General features: G+C 46.1%; 1 long non-coding RNA gene across 1 annotated transcript, besides 3 other annotated features; it reads right to left on the bottom strand.

The window, feature by feature from the left end:
* Positions 1–3,179: 3,179 nt before the first annotated feature.
* Positions 3,180–10,619, bottom strand: LINC00398 (long intergenic non-protein coding RNA 398). Its single transcript, NR_047012.1, has 2 exons — positions 10,233–10,619; positions 3,180–3,698 (listed from the first exon to the last, which is right to left on the bottom strand). It is a non-coding gene; the product is annotated as a long intergenic non-protein coding RNA 398 (long non-coding RNA).
* Positions 8,066–8,566: an enhancer, noted in NCBI's record as "H3K4me1 hESC enhancer chr13:31379396-31379896 (GRCh37/hg19 assembly coordinates)". NCBI's record gives its function as "activates a minimal SCP1, AML or CMV promoter by ChIP-STARR-seq in primed H9 embryonic stem cells {active_cell/tissue: H9 hESC(primed)}" and the evidence as "EXISTENCE:reporter gene assay evidence [ECO:0000049][PMID:30033119]".
* Positions 10,725–10,844: a silencer, noted in NCBI's record as "silent region_5238". NCBI's record gives its function as "represses an Ori minimal core promoter by ATAC-STARR-seq in GM12878 lymphoblastoid cells {active_cell/tissue: GM12878}" and the evidence as "EXISTENCE:reporter gene assay evidence [ECO:0000049][PMID:35858748]".
* Positions 14,022–15,221: an enhancer, noted in NCBI's record as "CDK7 strongly-dependent group 2 enhancer chr13:31372741-31373940 (GRCh37/hg19 assembly coordinates)". NCBI's record gives its function as "activates an origin of replication core promoter dependent on BRD2, BRD4, P300/CBP, MED14 and CDK7 cofactors, with strong dependence on CDK7, by STARR-seq in HCT116 cells {active_cell/tissue: HCT116}" and the evidence as "EXISTENCE:reporter gene assay evidence [ECO:0000049][PMID:35650434]".

The raw sequence follows: 15,734 nt of genomic DNA, 5'->3' as shown, positions 1-15,734 counted from the left end.
GTTGTCAAGGATGTGGGATAGAAGGAATTCTTATTCATTGCTGGTAGGAATGCAAAATGGTACAGCCACTTTGAAAAATAGTTTGGTAGTTTCTAAAAAGCTAAACATATTCTAACCAAACAATCCAACAATGATGCTCCTTAATATTTACCTATTTAAGCTGAAAACTTATGTCCACGTAGAAATCTGCATATAAATGTTTATAGAGGTTTTATTCATAGTTGCCGAAAACTGGAACTAATCGAGATGTTCTTCACTCAGTGAACTGATGAACAAACTGTGGCACATCCATACAATGAAATATTTTTCAGTGCTGAAAAGAACTGTGGGCTGTCAAGCTGCAAAAGGACACGGAGGAATCGTAAATGCACATTGCTAAGTGAAAGAAATAAATCTGAAAAGACTGCTTACAGTATGATTCCAACCATATGATGTTCTGCAAAAGGCTAAACTATAGGTATAGTGAAAAGCCCCATGGTTGCCAGGGGTTTAGGTGCAAGGATGGATGAACGGGTGGAGCACAGGAGATTCTTAGGGCAGTGAAACTATTCCCGTGTGATACTTTCATGGTAGAAACATGTCACTACGCATTTGTGAACTGCAGAACCGTATAAAACAGTAAGCCCTAATGTAAACAATGGACTTTAGTTAATAGGAATGGATCAATATTGGTTCATCAACTGCAACAAATATATCACACTAATCCAAATGTTAATTATAGATGAAACTGTGTATGAAAGGGAGTATATTGGAACTCTGTACTATCTGCTCACTTTTTTATAAATTCAAAACTGATTTAAAAATAAAGTCTATTAATTTTTTTAAGTAATGAATCTAGGCCATAATTATCAATGGCTGCTAGCATCAGAAAAAGAGAAGCAACCACACGTGTGCTTTCTGATGGGAGAACACAGTCACCTGTAAAGTAATCTTACCAAAAAACAAGACAACAATAAGACCCGAATGCCATCAAACATTTAGCTCTAACTTCCATTTGGCAGAAAATACTGTTGTATTGTAGAAAATACAGAGGACAAACAACACATCCAATAACAGCACAGAGATGCAATCAGCAAAACCCAGACTCCAGGAAATCCTACAGAACAAACCACACAATTTCTTCAACAAATAATGTGTACAAAAGAGGTGTGGGTGGGAAAGGAAACTCACAGATTAAAAGAGACTTAGGAAGCTGGGCATGGTGATGCATGCCTGTAATCCCAGCGGTTTGGGAGACCGAGGAGGTCCAATCACTTGAGCCTACGAGTTCAAGACCAGCCTGAGCAACACGGTGAAATCCCATCTCTACAAAAGAATATAAAAATTAGCCAAGCATGGTGGTGCACACCTGTAATCCAGGCTACACGGGAGGTTGAGGTGGGAGGATCATCTGAGCCCAAGGAGGTCAGACTGTAGTGAGCCATGATCTGGCCCCCTGTATTCCAGCCTTGGGGACAGAGTGAGACCTTGTCTCAACAACGGCAACAACAACAAAGACTTAAGAGATCTATCAAGCAATTGCAATATATTTGCAACATATTGATCTTATTTAGATCTTGATTCAAACAAATAAATTGAATGGGGGAAAAAATCTAAAATATATAATAATAAACATTTATAAGACAATTGGAAAAACTGAATATTGATTGGATATTTGATGATATTATGGAATTGTTAATATTTTTAGATGTGATCATGATATTGTAGTTTTTTGTTTAAAATTTGAATCCTCTTTTAGAGATAAGTACTGAAATATGAATATGGATGAAATAATTTGTTGATGAGGGTTTGCCTCAAAGAATCCAAGGAGAGGAAAAAAGGATAGGAGAATAGATGAAACAAGATTGGCCATGAGCTGACTTTTGTTGAAACAGGGTGTTGGGGATGGGGGTCCTTCTACGTACTTCGGGGCTGGGGGTCCTTCTACGTACTTCGGGGCTGGGCAGACTGTGACCTGCGGGCCAACTCTAGCCCACCAGCTGTTTTTGCAAGGGTTGGGAACTAAGAAAGATGTTTATATGTTTAAATGGTACAAAAGTCAGGAAAAAAGAAGACTATTAATAACATGTAAAAATTTTGTGAAATTCATATGTCAGCATCCACAAATAAAGTTTTATTAGAAGACATCACCATTCATTTATACACTATCAATAGCTGCTTTTGTGTGACAATAGAGCTGTATAGTTGAGGCGGAGAACATATGGCCTGGGAAACCAAAATTATTTACTATCTGGCCCTGTAAAGAAAAAGTTTTCCACTTCCTATACTGTTCTTTCTAATATAGCATATGTTTGATTTTCCATAATAGAAAGTTAAAGAAAAATCTCCCTATGTTGTTATCTCTCAAATGTGCCCAAATATTAACTAACATTTGAGGGGGCAATGCAGCCACTTTTGCCATGAGGTCTCTAGACACACCCATGCCTCATCCATCCTCCGGAATTCCTCGGCTCTCCAACTCAGAAGGTGTCTGTTACATCGTGAAATAATATTTTTCACTAAATTAATCTTGACCTTAAGTCCAAGGTTGAAATTGCAACATTAGCACATATATGGCTTGGCAGCCCTGGCCGAATTCTCATATTAAATTCTCCATCCTGAGCCATTCTTTGATTATCTGCACCCAAGCTGATGATATTCAAGCAAATGAAACTGTATATTAAAGCTACAAACATTTTACGTGGCCCTTGGCGGCTGTATGCTTGAAGATTGGTGGGACTTTCTTGAAAGCCTGCCAATTTAGACACATGACTTGTAATTGTGAATTCTTCAATTGCAGGTGCTCACACAGCTCTGGGCCCTGCGCTGTGGATTTCTGCTGAGGTCAGGCAAGCCACGCAGATAACCCACTAGGAGCCTCAGTGGCACGGCAGCCGGCTCTACAAATCCTCATCTTGTTGGTTCTAGTGATGAATCCAGTCCTTCGGGATGGGTCTCTGGAAAGTTAATTGGGTAGGGAAGAAAAATGGCGTGCTTTCAAAAAAGCGCCGCAGGATAGTGCCCTCTGCATCTGCCCGTGTTACCCGGCTGCGGCGTCCTGTCAGAAACAGCGTGTCTTGCGTGACAACCAAAGTGTTGGACTGCTGCGAGTGCTGCTAAGGACAGAGTGTGGCTGCTGCCAGCTGGTGTCTCGGGGCAGGCCCCAGACATGCCATGGTACCACCTCTGTCACCCCCTGGCAGGGCCTGTTACCTGGCACCACGCCTGAAGTGTGCCCAGGGAATTACTCCATCATTTTCCTCAGTAGGTTGCTCTCCGCTGATGCTGGCTTCATTCCCGGGCTCAGGGAGGGTGGTGCCGGTGTGTGTGTTTCCCCTCAGATCCCAAAGCACAAGGTGTGAAGGTTCCTGGCAGCAACTTGCTGACTTGGCTTGTTGTGGAATGAGGATGGAAAACTCCAGCAGCAATGAGGAGGCCCACTCACCAACAAGCCAGGCTCCTGCCCGTCACCAACAAGCCAGGCTCCTGCCCGCAGGGTCAGGAAGCTGTGTCCTGTGTCTGGGGCCAGCCTCCTTCAGCTGGGAGTTGGGGGAGGTGAAGGGAATGAAACTCCCATCTGGGCTTTGTTCAGCCTCAGTCAAATGACTAGAAAGAGACGCAGGGCGAGGCTAGAAAGATGCTGTCTGTAAAACTTCCAGAGCCTTTGGGAGAAGGTGAAGATGGGTGCTTTTAAATAGAAAGGCCAGGAAGCAGGGAGACTGAAATGAGAATAAAAGTCAACATTTTCACTGTGCCCCAGGCCCTGTGTGATCCACCTCTGTCTTTTTCTCCACCTAATTTTATGCCACTTTCCCTCACCTCCTCCTTCTGTCCTACTGGTCTTTAATCAGCTGCTCAAATGTGTACAGCCTTAGAGCCTCAGGGCCTTTGCACATGCTGTCCCGCTGCCCAGAATGCCTCATGCTCCCTTCTCCACCTGCCACTCGCTCTCCCACTCCTGGTCTCTACCCTGCCTCTGCCTGTAGCCTGCACTTTCTCTTCCCTTAGTCCCCTGCTCCCCATTAAAGTCAATCTCCCTTGGTTGTGCTATCTCAAGCCTTAGTCTGACTCCTTCATAGCCCCTGATCCAACTTACAGTTGTTTCACTTACTGTTTCATTCATTCATTTTTGTCTCTATCTCCACAACTAGATTATAATTTCTTTCAGGACAGGTACCATGTAAAATTTATTTTCCACAGTATATCCAGCATCTAGCACAGTGCCTGGCACACAGTAGGTGTTCGCTACATGCTTATTGAATGAATGAGGCTGGGTGCAGTGGCTTACGCCTGTAATCCCAGCACTTTGGGAGGCTGAAACGGGTGGATCACCTGAAGTCAGAAGTTTGAGACCAGACTGGCCAACATGGGGAAATGTCTTCTCTACTAAAAATACAAAAATTAGCCGGGCTTGGTGGCATGTGCCTGTAATCCCAGCTACTAGGGAGGCTGAGGCAAGAGAATCGCTTGAACCCAGGAGGCAAAGGTTGCAGTGAGCTGACATCATGCCACTGCGCTCCAGCCTGGGCGACAGAGCAAGACTCTGTCTCAAAAAAAAGAATGAATGAATAACTGATTCAGGACTCACTATGTTAAAGTTTATTTTCTTATTCTCAGCTCCCTCTATAGATTGGCTAAGTGATGTTCTCAGGGCTTGGCTGGTCAGTAAACACATTTTTCAAGGCCCTTCATTTCTCCTCCCCCCTTTTGTTCCCAGTCTTCTGGTCATTTTGATATTCATTAACAACCCTTAACATACAGTAGGCAGAAGGAGTAATTTGCTTCTCATTAACTGGCTAAACTATCATTTGGGAATTACTTATTATTTCAATTATCCATGAGATTTCTGTCCACTTGGAGCAGGCAGTTGCATCAGTCAGAATAGGCCAATTGCTGGAATCTATAACCCCCACACCTCAGAAGCTTAAATTAAGCCACTGAAAGTTTATTTCTCACTCATGCAAAGTTCAATATGAATATTTTAGGTCATGCAGTTTTCCTTGGAGGGATGACTCAAGGGCCCTCCCATCATGTGACATTTCCATGTTCGACACCCAAGATGTCAAAGCATCAAAAAATGAAAAACATGATTAATACCTTTTCTCCAGCTAATCAAGCTAGTTAATGCAGTTCAGTAGATGACAGTCCCATCTAGTGGCAAAAGGCACGTTTGGAGATGATAACTTGCCTTTGGTCACTTGTGTCAATCCCCTCTCCCACCCCCAGGCTCCATCACCCCAACACACAGTCCATCAGCAAGTCCAACTGGCTTCATCTCCAAACCATCCCACACCTACTTCATGGACTCTGCTACCCCCAGACCAAGCTCCTGCCATGTGTTGCCTGAACTATTGCAAAATCCTTCTAGCTGAATGTCCTCCTCCCACCCATCCTTCCATGATCTGTTCTCCACAGAGCAGCCAAAGAGAGTGTTCGGCTATTATTTTATTTTGTTTGTGTGCCGTTTAAAGGGTTCTGTTTCCATTTTTTCCTTTGCTGTATAAAAAGTTACTTTGAAGCCAGTCATGGTGGATCACGCCTGTAATCTCAGCACTTTGGGAAGCTGCGGAAGGAGGATCGCTTGAGGTCAGGAGTTCAAAACCAGCCTGGCCTACATGGTGAAATCCCATCTCTACTAAAAATACAAAAAACAAAAATTAGCCAGGTGTGGTGGTGCGTGCCTGTAATCCCAGCTACTTGGGAGGCTGAGGCAGGCGTATTCCTTGAACCTGGGAGGTGGAGATTGCAGTGAGTTGAGATCGCACCACTGCACTCCAGTCTGGGCAATAGAGCAAGACTCAATCTCAAAAAAAAAAAAAAAAAAAAAAAAAAGAGTTATTTTGAAACTTTTGTTCTAAGAATTTTCAAGCATACACAAAATATACCCAGATACCCAACTGTAATACTTATCAACTCATGGCCAGTCTCGTTTCAGCTACACCCCTCCTCACTGTTCCATTTTCTGTGTACTGTTTTGCAGCAACTCCTTGACAGCAAAGGAGCTCTATAAACCACAAATCAGAGCAAGTTACTTCCTAGCTTAAAAACTTTTAAAAGCTCTGCAGGGCATTTACAATGAAACCTTTCGGCTCATTCTGGCACCCAGAGCCCCGCCTTACTTGGCCTGCTAATCTCTTTAATGGTATTTCCTCACTCTGCCCCAGCCACAGCCACCCTCTATTCCTTGGGCTCACTCAGTTGTATCCCTACCCCAGTGCCTTTGCACTTGCTGCACTGCTGCCTAAACTACTTTACTACTCTACATTTATGTGGCTGGCCCTGCCTGGGCATTCACGGCTCAACTCTCATCTGCTCTGAAAGGCCTCCCCAGCGAGTCTGTCTCTGGAAACACCCCCAGCCCCACTCCTCTAGCCAGCCACTTTCCACCTTAACACTCTGAAACTAGTTTGCTCCTTTAAAAGATGTGTTTGTTCTAGCTAGGTGCAGTGGTGCACACCTGTGTTCGCAGCTACTTAGGAGGCTGAGGCAGGAGGATCACTTGAGCCCAGGAATTCAAGTCCAGCCTGGACAATATAGTGAGACCTCAGCTCTCAGGAAAAGAAAAAAAAAGTGCTTGTTCTAAAATCAAAGGTCCAGAAAAGCAACTAGACTAGTGCATGGCATATGATAAGCACTTAATATTTATTGAGTAAAAACAAACAAGAATACAATTTTAAAGTGTTAGCTTTAGGGCAGTTTTTGAAAATAAATTTTCCTGGTGCATTTATAACAGCATTTGTTAGAAAAAAATATATTTATACAAATTTATTTTTTGAGAGAAAAAATACCACTTGTAGTGCAAAGGCATGTTCTTCCGTGAAAGATCATACATGACTCAGGCTCTGATTCTGCCAAGAGGAAAAGGAAGTCAGGACAACGTGACTATTTTTAGTCCTTAGAAGTAGCCATGCCTCCAGCTAAGATGTGAATGGAGGAATCTGTGGCTTATAAAGTTGATTTGGATGATGAGACCATACTCTGAAGACAAACTCTTAATACCGTGCCATGACAGAAAAACATTAAGGAGACAAGATTCATGAATTCTGAAATGAGAAGTGGAAGTTTAAAAATATATATATATATATATATATTTTGAGATGGAGTCTCACTCTGCGGCCCAGGCTGAATTGTAGTGGTGCCATCTGGCTCACCACAACCTCCGCCTCCCGGATTCAAGCTATTCTCCTGCCTCAGCCTCCCGAGTAGTTAGAATTACAGGCTCGATCCACCATGCCCAGCTAGTTTTTGTATTTTTGGAAGAGACAGAGTTTCACCATGTTGGCCAGGCTGGTCTCGAACTCCTGGCCTGAGGTGATCCGCCCGCCTCAGTCTCCCAAAGTGCTGGGATTATAGGCATGAACCACCACGCCTAGCAAAAGTTAAAAATTTGAGATCGTTAAAGAAAAGCCTCCATTTAAGGCCTTTGAGTATTTGGGGATCCTATTTGATGGAAGGCAAATTGTAAGTGAAATTACATTGTGCTTCCAATTTGCCACTACCAAATTTTAAAACAATATCCACCTGTGCCCTCATCCTCTCCCACCCACATGGGCTCTCCCTCACCCACTGTGCTTCTTCAACCCTTCCCTGTGTTTAGAACTGGACTCTCTCTTCTTTCTGCCTGTAGGAATATTTTTCTAGACCTGATCTTTAGTATTTCTGAATGTGAGTGCATATGGCTTTACACAAAGAATATGTAGTAGAAAAGCTTCGTGTTGATTACATTTGTATTAATCAGGTGCTTTGAAACCCACTAGAAGGGTATCCTCTTATAGTGCTCCTCACATTGATGCCATGGTGTGAGTCCCTGGATCTGGCTGATTTGAAGCAGGAGGTACCTATGCAGGACTGGGTGCTCCCCAGCCTTTCATGCACCCTCCAGCTTTCCAGACAGCTTGGCGGGATGACAGTGTGCCCTCAACCTTCTCCCACACATCCAACGCTTCCAAGGAGAACAAGGGCATCATTGATTTCAGGCGCTGGTAGGAATGTGCAGGGGCGGGCAGGCTTCCAGCACTCAAGCTTCCCTTGAAGATAGAAAATGCAAGGCTACCAGGAGCACTGAGAGGCCCCAGGCTGGGCCCAGCCAGGAATCCACCGGGAAATGCTCTTGCCTGGCTTCCGGAGCCTCAGGGCTGGAGCGGACACAGGGCTCCTGTCTTGGTGCCTTCAGTGGCTGGGCTGGCCTGGGAGTCTGGGGCAGAAGTTTATTTAAAGAACCTACTCTGAGTTCTGTGGGTGGCGCAGATCCAAAAATTTCATATATATTCAATGTCAGACTAAGCATTTTTCTGTGTGGCAGCAAAAATCTTTTACATAATTAGCTCATTTAAGCCTCACACATGTTTATGAGGTAGGATCACTATCATTTTACACTCAGTTGAGGAAACTGAGTCAAAGAGAAGAATGAAACCGACCTGAAATCACACAGCCAGTAACAAGGGGGGCTGGGAATGAACGCAGAGCCCTCCCACCCCAAGGTCCAAGTTCATGGCCGCTAGCAAGCATACAGCCAGCATAGAAGGAGATGAAGAGCACAGACCTTGTACCTTGCTTCCTGGCTCAGATCCCAGCTCTGCCACTTTTCAGCTGCGTGACTTTAGCAGGCTGCTAAACCTTTCTGTGCATCAGTTTTTTTGAGAGTAAAATGAGATAATAATAGGAGCTAGCACATGAGGCTGTATGTGGATTAAATCAATTAATATAAGTGAGTGCTGAAAACAGCCCCTGGTGTGTGTGTGTGTGTGTGTGTGTGTGTGTGTGTGTGTGTGTGTGTGTGTGCTGTGTGTCTGCTGTCGTACATCCTAAATACGACTTCTCATTCCTGCACAATCTTGTTTTGTTAGCTCCTTCTCCACCTGTCAGTGAAGAACATCTAACACCTGAAACCCTTGCCAATTATTTTGGAAAGAGACTTTCTGGAGGAGGTCAGCCAATGCCACTTTCCAGCTGTTGTATCTTCTTTCCATCCAGCTGGACATTGCTAGATGATATCTGCTGCTTGCAAAGGTGCTGGGAGGCCTTGCTTCCAGGGCTTGGTGGGCACCATGTTACCCAGAGGAGACGGTGCCCAGCCAGCCTCTGCCACATGGGTGACTGGGCACCACCCCTGCTGCTGATGCCACTGGCACTCCCCAGGCAGAGGCAGCTCTGTTCTCTGAAGCCCTCATTGTGCCAGAGCCATATGGGGCCACCGCCGGCCACCTGCCTGCAGGGCCTGACATAGCACTTGAGGGAATTGGCTTTTGGTTTTTCCCACAGAATCCATGAACTCATGGGAGGCTGCGCTGTGAGTCAGAAATGAGAATTAACCCTCCTCTCCATTGCCGGAAGCCCTGTTATTATCCCCCAGCCCCATCTTCCTCATTCCCCGACTTCGCCTCCTCCCCACCTCCTTCAGTCAGAAGTCCTCAACCCGACTCCCTGTGAAGGCCCGTGGGATGGCCTTGGGGGACCTGCACTCTAACACTGGACATGTGCAAATCCTGGGAAGATGCTTACAGTTATCAGCATCCTCTCAAAAGAGGTTCATCACCTGAAAAAGTCAAGGACACTGGCTTCTATAGGATGAGCCAACCAGTTAGGTTGCATCCTCCGGGAAAGGCTCCCAGATAGAGTTATGTGTGCAGAGGGGCTATAGCTGAGTAACTCCTGTGGAGGGGCCAGGGGAGAAGTAAGCCAGCCCCACAGAGAGCTCTGGAGCACAGACCACCCAGGAGAGGAATCCCGTGGTGGGCAGAAATGCCAGGCCTTTGGGCCACTGCCTTGCTCTTATGTGGGCCTGGGCCAGCCCAAGGAGGGCACAGTCCTTTTTGAAAGCTGAAGCTTAGTCTGACGAGCTGTGAGTGGACAGCTGTCAGTAGCCACGCTCCTTGTAGCTGGGCCTGGAATCCTTCCTGGAAGGGGAGTGCGGTGCCTGCTGCATGGCCCTGGGCAGCTGCTGTGCACAGCTGCTGGCGGACCCTCACCAAGGTCCATCAGACCTGCCAAGGCAAACCTGAATCCTATATGTGACTCCATCTAAGCCAAGCTGGGACTCTTCCACTCTTAACTTGGAAAATGTGCATTCCCAGCTGCTAGGTCCTGAACTTGACCTGGGGAAGAGAACGACAAGGCCATGCTTGGGCAGGAGAAGCTAGGTGTAGGCAAGGGAATCTTTACCTTATGAATGGGTTGTATACATGTTGCTTGTTGTTTAGAGAGTGGAATACATTTTGTCCTGGAAATCCTACTATAAATGGGGGGATGCGTACCTGGGCCTTCTTGCAAAAGCCTGTTAAATTCCTAATGATGTTGAAATGGTGGGAAGGGTCATCCAGGGAGGACCTCCACGCCCGCCCATCTCCTCTGGGTTGCCCGGGCAATCCTGCAGGAGCCGAGGCTGGACGCAGCTGACCCCAACAGACAGGAGAAACAAGCCAGCACCACCGGAGAGAACCAGGCTGAAAGGGTGACCCAGGGCTTCCGTGGCCTAGAATGAGAGAGACATCGCATGGCGCAAGGTTCCAAGTAGGGTTCGCGGCGGGGAGGGCCCCTGCCGCAAAGGGACTCAGTGTTGTGCGAGGGAGGTGAAGTCGCTTCTTGATCAGCCGTATTTCTTGCCTACACTTGACACCGTCACCAGCCCAGGCGCCTTTCCGGTCACCCTCACGGAAAGGCTCATCCACGCTGGAAGGAGGGAACCTCCTCGTTAACCTCTAGCATGCCGGTGCCTGCCACCCCAGGGCGCGGGAGCCCGCAGGAGCAGGCGTGTGGACGTCCTGAGAGCTGCCACTAGATGGCGCGTCTGCCCTGCCTACTCAGGAGCCCCGCTCAGGGCACCGGGTGCGGGAGCCCGGCTAATTGCCCTCTAATGAGAAGGCTGCTCCCAAAGTGCCCTCCTCGCAGGGAAAGCCCCAGGCTCCTATCAAAGGGAATGGCTTATTTATCCTCTAACGTGAAGAAACTTCCACACAGCATCAATTAAACACATTAAATGTGACCAGAGTGAGAAAACATCTAAAGGATAGAATATTGAATTGTTGCCACTGACAAATATCAAACCACCCATTCTGGTCTCGGTGGCGTGTACAGTTGACCTTGAACAACACAGGTTTGAACTGTGTGTGTCCAGTTAGAGGTGGACCTTCTTCTGCCTCTGCCACCCCTGAGAAGCGGGACCAACCCCTCCTCTTCCTCCTCCTCCTCAGCCTACTCAGAAGACCACAAGGCTGAAGGCCTTCATGGCGATCCACTTCCACTTAATGAGTAGTCGATATACTTTCTCTTCCTTATGATTTTTTAAATAACAATTTCTTTTCTTTAGCTTACTTTATTGTAAGAATATAGTATATAATACATTAACATACAAAATATGTGTGAATCGACTATTTATGTTATCAATAAGGCTTCCAGTCAACAGTAGGCTATTAGTAGTTCAGTTTGGGGGAGTCAAAAGTTGTATATAGATTTTAAACTGTGTGGGGATTGGCACCCCTAAAGCCTTCATTACTCAAGAGTCAACTGTAGGTGGGCCCTGGGAAGGTTCTCAATTTTTTTTTTTTTTTGAGACAGAGTCTGTTTCTGTCACACAGGCTGGAGTGCGGTGGTATGATTTCAGTTCACTGCAACTTCCGCTTCCAGGATTCAAGCAATTCTCCTGCCTCAGCCTCCGAGAAGCTGTGACTACAGGTGCGTGCCACCATGCCCGGATAATTTTTGTATTTTTAGTGGAGACGGGGTTTCGCCATGTTGGCCAGGCTCGTCTCAAACTCCTGACCTCAAGTGATTCACCAGCCTTGGCCTCCCAAAGTGCTGGAATTAAAGGTGTGAGCCACTGTGCCTGGACGGTTCTCAAATTTTCTGAGATCAGATGGAGTCTGCCCCTCCACCTGGCAGGCTGAAGGCTGGGGCTTGCAGAGATGTGGTGTCTGTTACCCCAGACACTGCAGGTGACCTTGCCTCTTACTAACTTTTCTTATCAGTACCATTTGGACCCTCACACTCATGAGGATGTGGGTGATAATGTGGAGGTTAAATAATATGGTCACTGATGATATTTTCTATACTGTCTGTTTGCAGGGCAGAGTCTTACAGATCTGGACCACAGCAGACCTGAATCAAATAAGAATATGCCCAGATATGGGGTATTCGGGAGCAGATTATGAAACAAGGAAACTGAAGTCCTAAGCAGATCCACAGTTCCAAATTCTGAACCGCTTGAGGCCACATCAGATACAGGATGCTATTATGCTATTAGGGCTGTGGCTTAGTACATTATACAGATGGTGGGGAAAGGCCTGCAGGAGAAAGGCCTACCATTCCTGGATTCCAAAAATAGTGGTCTCCTAAGCAATCGATCTGCTTTTATGTTTAATATTCATCTGTTTCCCTTTCCCAGTTAACTCCTAGAGCCAAACTCACGGCCCACAGGAAGGAACCATATCAACCTGCACGGTGTGCTTTTAATTTCCCTCACCTTGTTCCAGCCTCTATTTTATGTTGCCACTCTTTTCTTTCCTTTCTTTTTTGCTCAGGCTTTTAGTACATATTTAACTTTTATTTTATGTCTCCTCCTCTTCAAACCACCTTAAGTCCTTTTTGGAATAGAGCAGAACACAAATAAAATAGGTGTCAGATACATTCTCTCTGTGACCTTGCATTGGGTCAAAGGACTCATGAATGTGTGTTACCTGTAATCTTTTGTGGAAAAGAGGATTTTAAAATTCTCTGCCAGCCTTCCCAAGTGGTGACATTTTCCTATACTACTTCTTTACTATTTCCTTTAATTTTGATTAACCTTTGACTCAGACACCTCTGACTAGTATCTTCTAGACTTTTCTCTTTTGCATGTAATACACAAAGCCTTCTTTTTTTATTTTCTAATTTCAGAAAGTGTATATTAATTTATTAGAGAACTTAGGTGGCTGATTGAAAAAAAAAGGAGGGAGGTACAGATTTAAACTTTTTTCCATCAAGAGTATTGCAAACCAGCAATACCATTTCATTAGTCTGGCTGGTGCTTTCAAAACCTATCAAGGAACAAGGAGAAAGTCACGGCAGGGTCACTCAAAAATTCATCTATCGCCAGGCGTGGTGGCCCATGCCTGGAATCCCAGCACTTTGCCAGGCCGAGGCAGGCTGATCACTTGAAGTCAGGAGATTGAGACCAGCCTGGCCAACATGGTGAAACCCCGTCTTTACCAAAAAGACAAAAATTAGCCAGGCATGGTGGTGTGAATCTGTAGTTCCAGCTACTCTGGAGGTTGAGGCAGGAGAATTGCTTGAGCCCAGGAGGTGGAGGCTGCAGTGAGCCAAAATCGTGCCACTGCACTCTAGCCTGGAAGACAGAGCAACACCCTGTCTCAGAAAAAAAAGAAAGAAAGAGAGAAAGAGAAAAAGGAAAGAAAGACAGAAAGACAGGAAGGAAGGAAGGAAGGAAGGAAGGAAGGAAGGAAGGAAGGAAGGAAGGAAGGAAGGAAAGGAAATAATCGTCTATCCCCTAAGTAATATATGTGGCTGCTCTTGCTATTACAAGTATTGAGAGACTTCTCGAAGGCCTCAATTCCTGAAACTCAAAGATTGCCCCCAAAATCCAGACATGGTAGGTGCTCAGTGCTATCTATTGAATGAATTAATGAAGCCAAACCAAGAGGCTGGGGAAGAATTAATGAATTCATTGGGTCTGTTCATGGCAGTTCTGAGGCCCCAGATGGGACTGATGTATTTTCAAAGACATCAGTCTTTGAAAATTTGCTAAACTGTTGCTGTGGTATTCTCAAGGAGAGAGGGGCTGAGCAGACATGGCTGGTCTCTGAAGAAGGGCAGTTTTGAAGCAGAAAGCATCAGTGGACCAGGAAAACTTCTTTGCAGAAGCCCCTGGAAATGCCATTATTCTATAAAATGAGCCCTTCCCTTTCCTCTTCCACCCACCTCCCCTCCTTCAAGTAGAAATAACTTGCCTCATTCATTCCAGCAAGGAAACCCAAGACCTCGATCCTACAGCCTCTCCTTCCCTATGCTGCCTTCTGAATGTGTGTCCTGAGAGTTTGGTGTTTTTCCCCCTGAAAGATTTTATGTCATTGGCCAGGCCTAAAAAGCTTGAAAGAACAAAGAATATAATTCGTCTGTGGGTTTGGCCTGTCTGAACAACAGATTTCTCTAATCCAGGACAAAAGCTGGACTTGCCAAGGACACACATTTGTAATTAAAATCTGCATTTATATTTGAAAATTTCACCAGTTGGTATTTTTTTTCAAGTCGGCGGACGCATCTCTTTCTCCCTGGCTCCCAGCTCTCGTGCCTTCGCGTTGACTTCTTTTTCAGGATCTTGGCGCACCTAAGCCTTGTGGGGCCTGGCTTTCTAAGGAGCAGCAGAGAATGCTTGGGTGAGGAGGCCTCTCAGCAGGCTGGAAGCGTTTCCTTTCCTATCCAGCCTCCCTCCCTGCCAGGGAATCGTCAAGCCTGAGGGAAGTGCTCCCCCTCCTATGTTTACGAAGCACTAAATTTACGAAGTCATTAATTCCCTTCATAAAGACGGAGCCTAATGGAGTTTTCTATTAGTCATTGAGATCGCGGTTATAACCCTGAAAGATCAAGAAAGCAATCAGGAGTCTAAATTGAAGTGGGAGTCGGGGGGACAGCAAAGACGTTTCTCCTCTTTAGCTGTCAGACTTTCCTGTTTTAAAGGGAAATATTGTGAATATCTTAATCACTACCTCACACATTTGTTTATTATTATTTTTCCTTTTCAGAACATTCAGAAATGTTGTGTAGACGCACAGGATTCATCGTCCAGGCATGTATATCTCAGGGGGCGGTGTTCTTTGTCCTAGTAGCTGAAGCTACCCAAAGATTCCCCCAAAATCCAAACACAGTAGATGCTCAGTGCTATGTGTTGAATGGATACATGAAGGAATGCAGCCAAACCGAGAGGCTGGGGAAGGATTAATGAATTCACGGGCTGTTTGTGGCAGTTCTCTGACCCGAGGCCCCACATGGGACTTTTGTACCTTCAAAGATGTGAAGATTAGCTAAACTGTTGCTGTTTAGCAAATCTTCTAGGGTGAGTTTCTAGGGTGTTTCTAGGGTGAGTGGTCACCTTAGGGAGAGCCAGGGTCAGGGTCACGGCCCCCACAAGGCCAGGCACACAGCCCTGGGGTGCTCTGGACAGGAAAACTAGAAATAGAGGACCCTGTTTTCCCAGTGCCCAAATTACTCAGGCCTCCAGGGAGTCCCTTACCCCATTCGAGGCCATAGAGCTGCAGGGAGCCATCCTGCCCTGAGCCTGCTCGTCTCTTTGCAAGCCCAGGCCACCCACTTTGGGCTTTGGGCGGAGAAGACAGGTGTATTTCTAGTCAAGAGAAGTTTCCCTGCACAGAGTCCAAGGAACGGCCTCCTCTGGGGCCTTACAGGCCCTCCACAGCTCAACAGTGAGCCCAGCAAAGACGCCTCTTGACTTCGGTGTAGCCTCATCTTCCAGAGAATTCCCTGAGATGCCACGTGGCTGTAAGAAACGCTGCTGCAGTCCAAGGAGACAGCAAGGGAAGCTGTGTTGGAGGGAAAGCAGCAGTTTTCAAAATACACCCACAGACTTGTACCAAGACCACCAGGAAGGGAAGCTCATTCGAAATGTAGACTCTCCCCCTACTACCGCCACCATCAGCAGCTCCTGCAAAACCAGAATGTCTAATGCCGGGGAGTGGGGGAGGTCGGCCTTCACTCGAGGAAAGAGGCTTAAAGGGTTTCTTCACCTGTCTGTGGGCCCCTGACACGTG

Source organism: Homo sapiens, chromosome 13, assembly GCF_000001405.40.
Source record: "Homo sapiens chromosome 13, GRCh38.p14 Primary Assembly".
Taxonomy (NCBI): Eukaryota; Metazoa; Chordata; class Mammalia; order Primates; family Hominidae; genus Homo; species Homo sapiens.
Note: the sequence above shows the minus strand (reverse complement) of the source record. Positions and strands in the feature narration are given on the sequence as shown.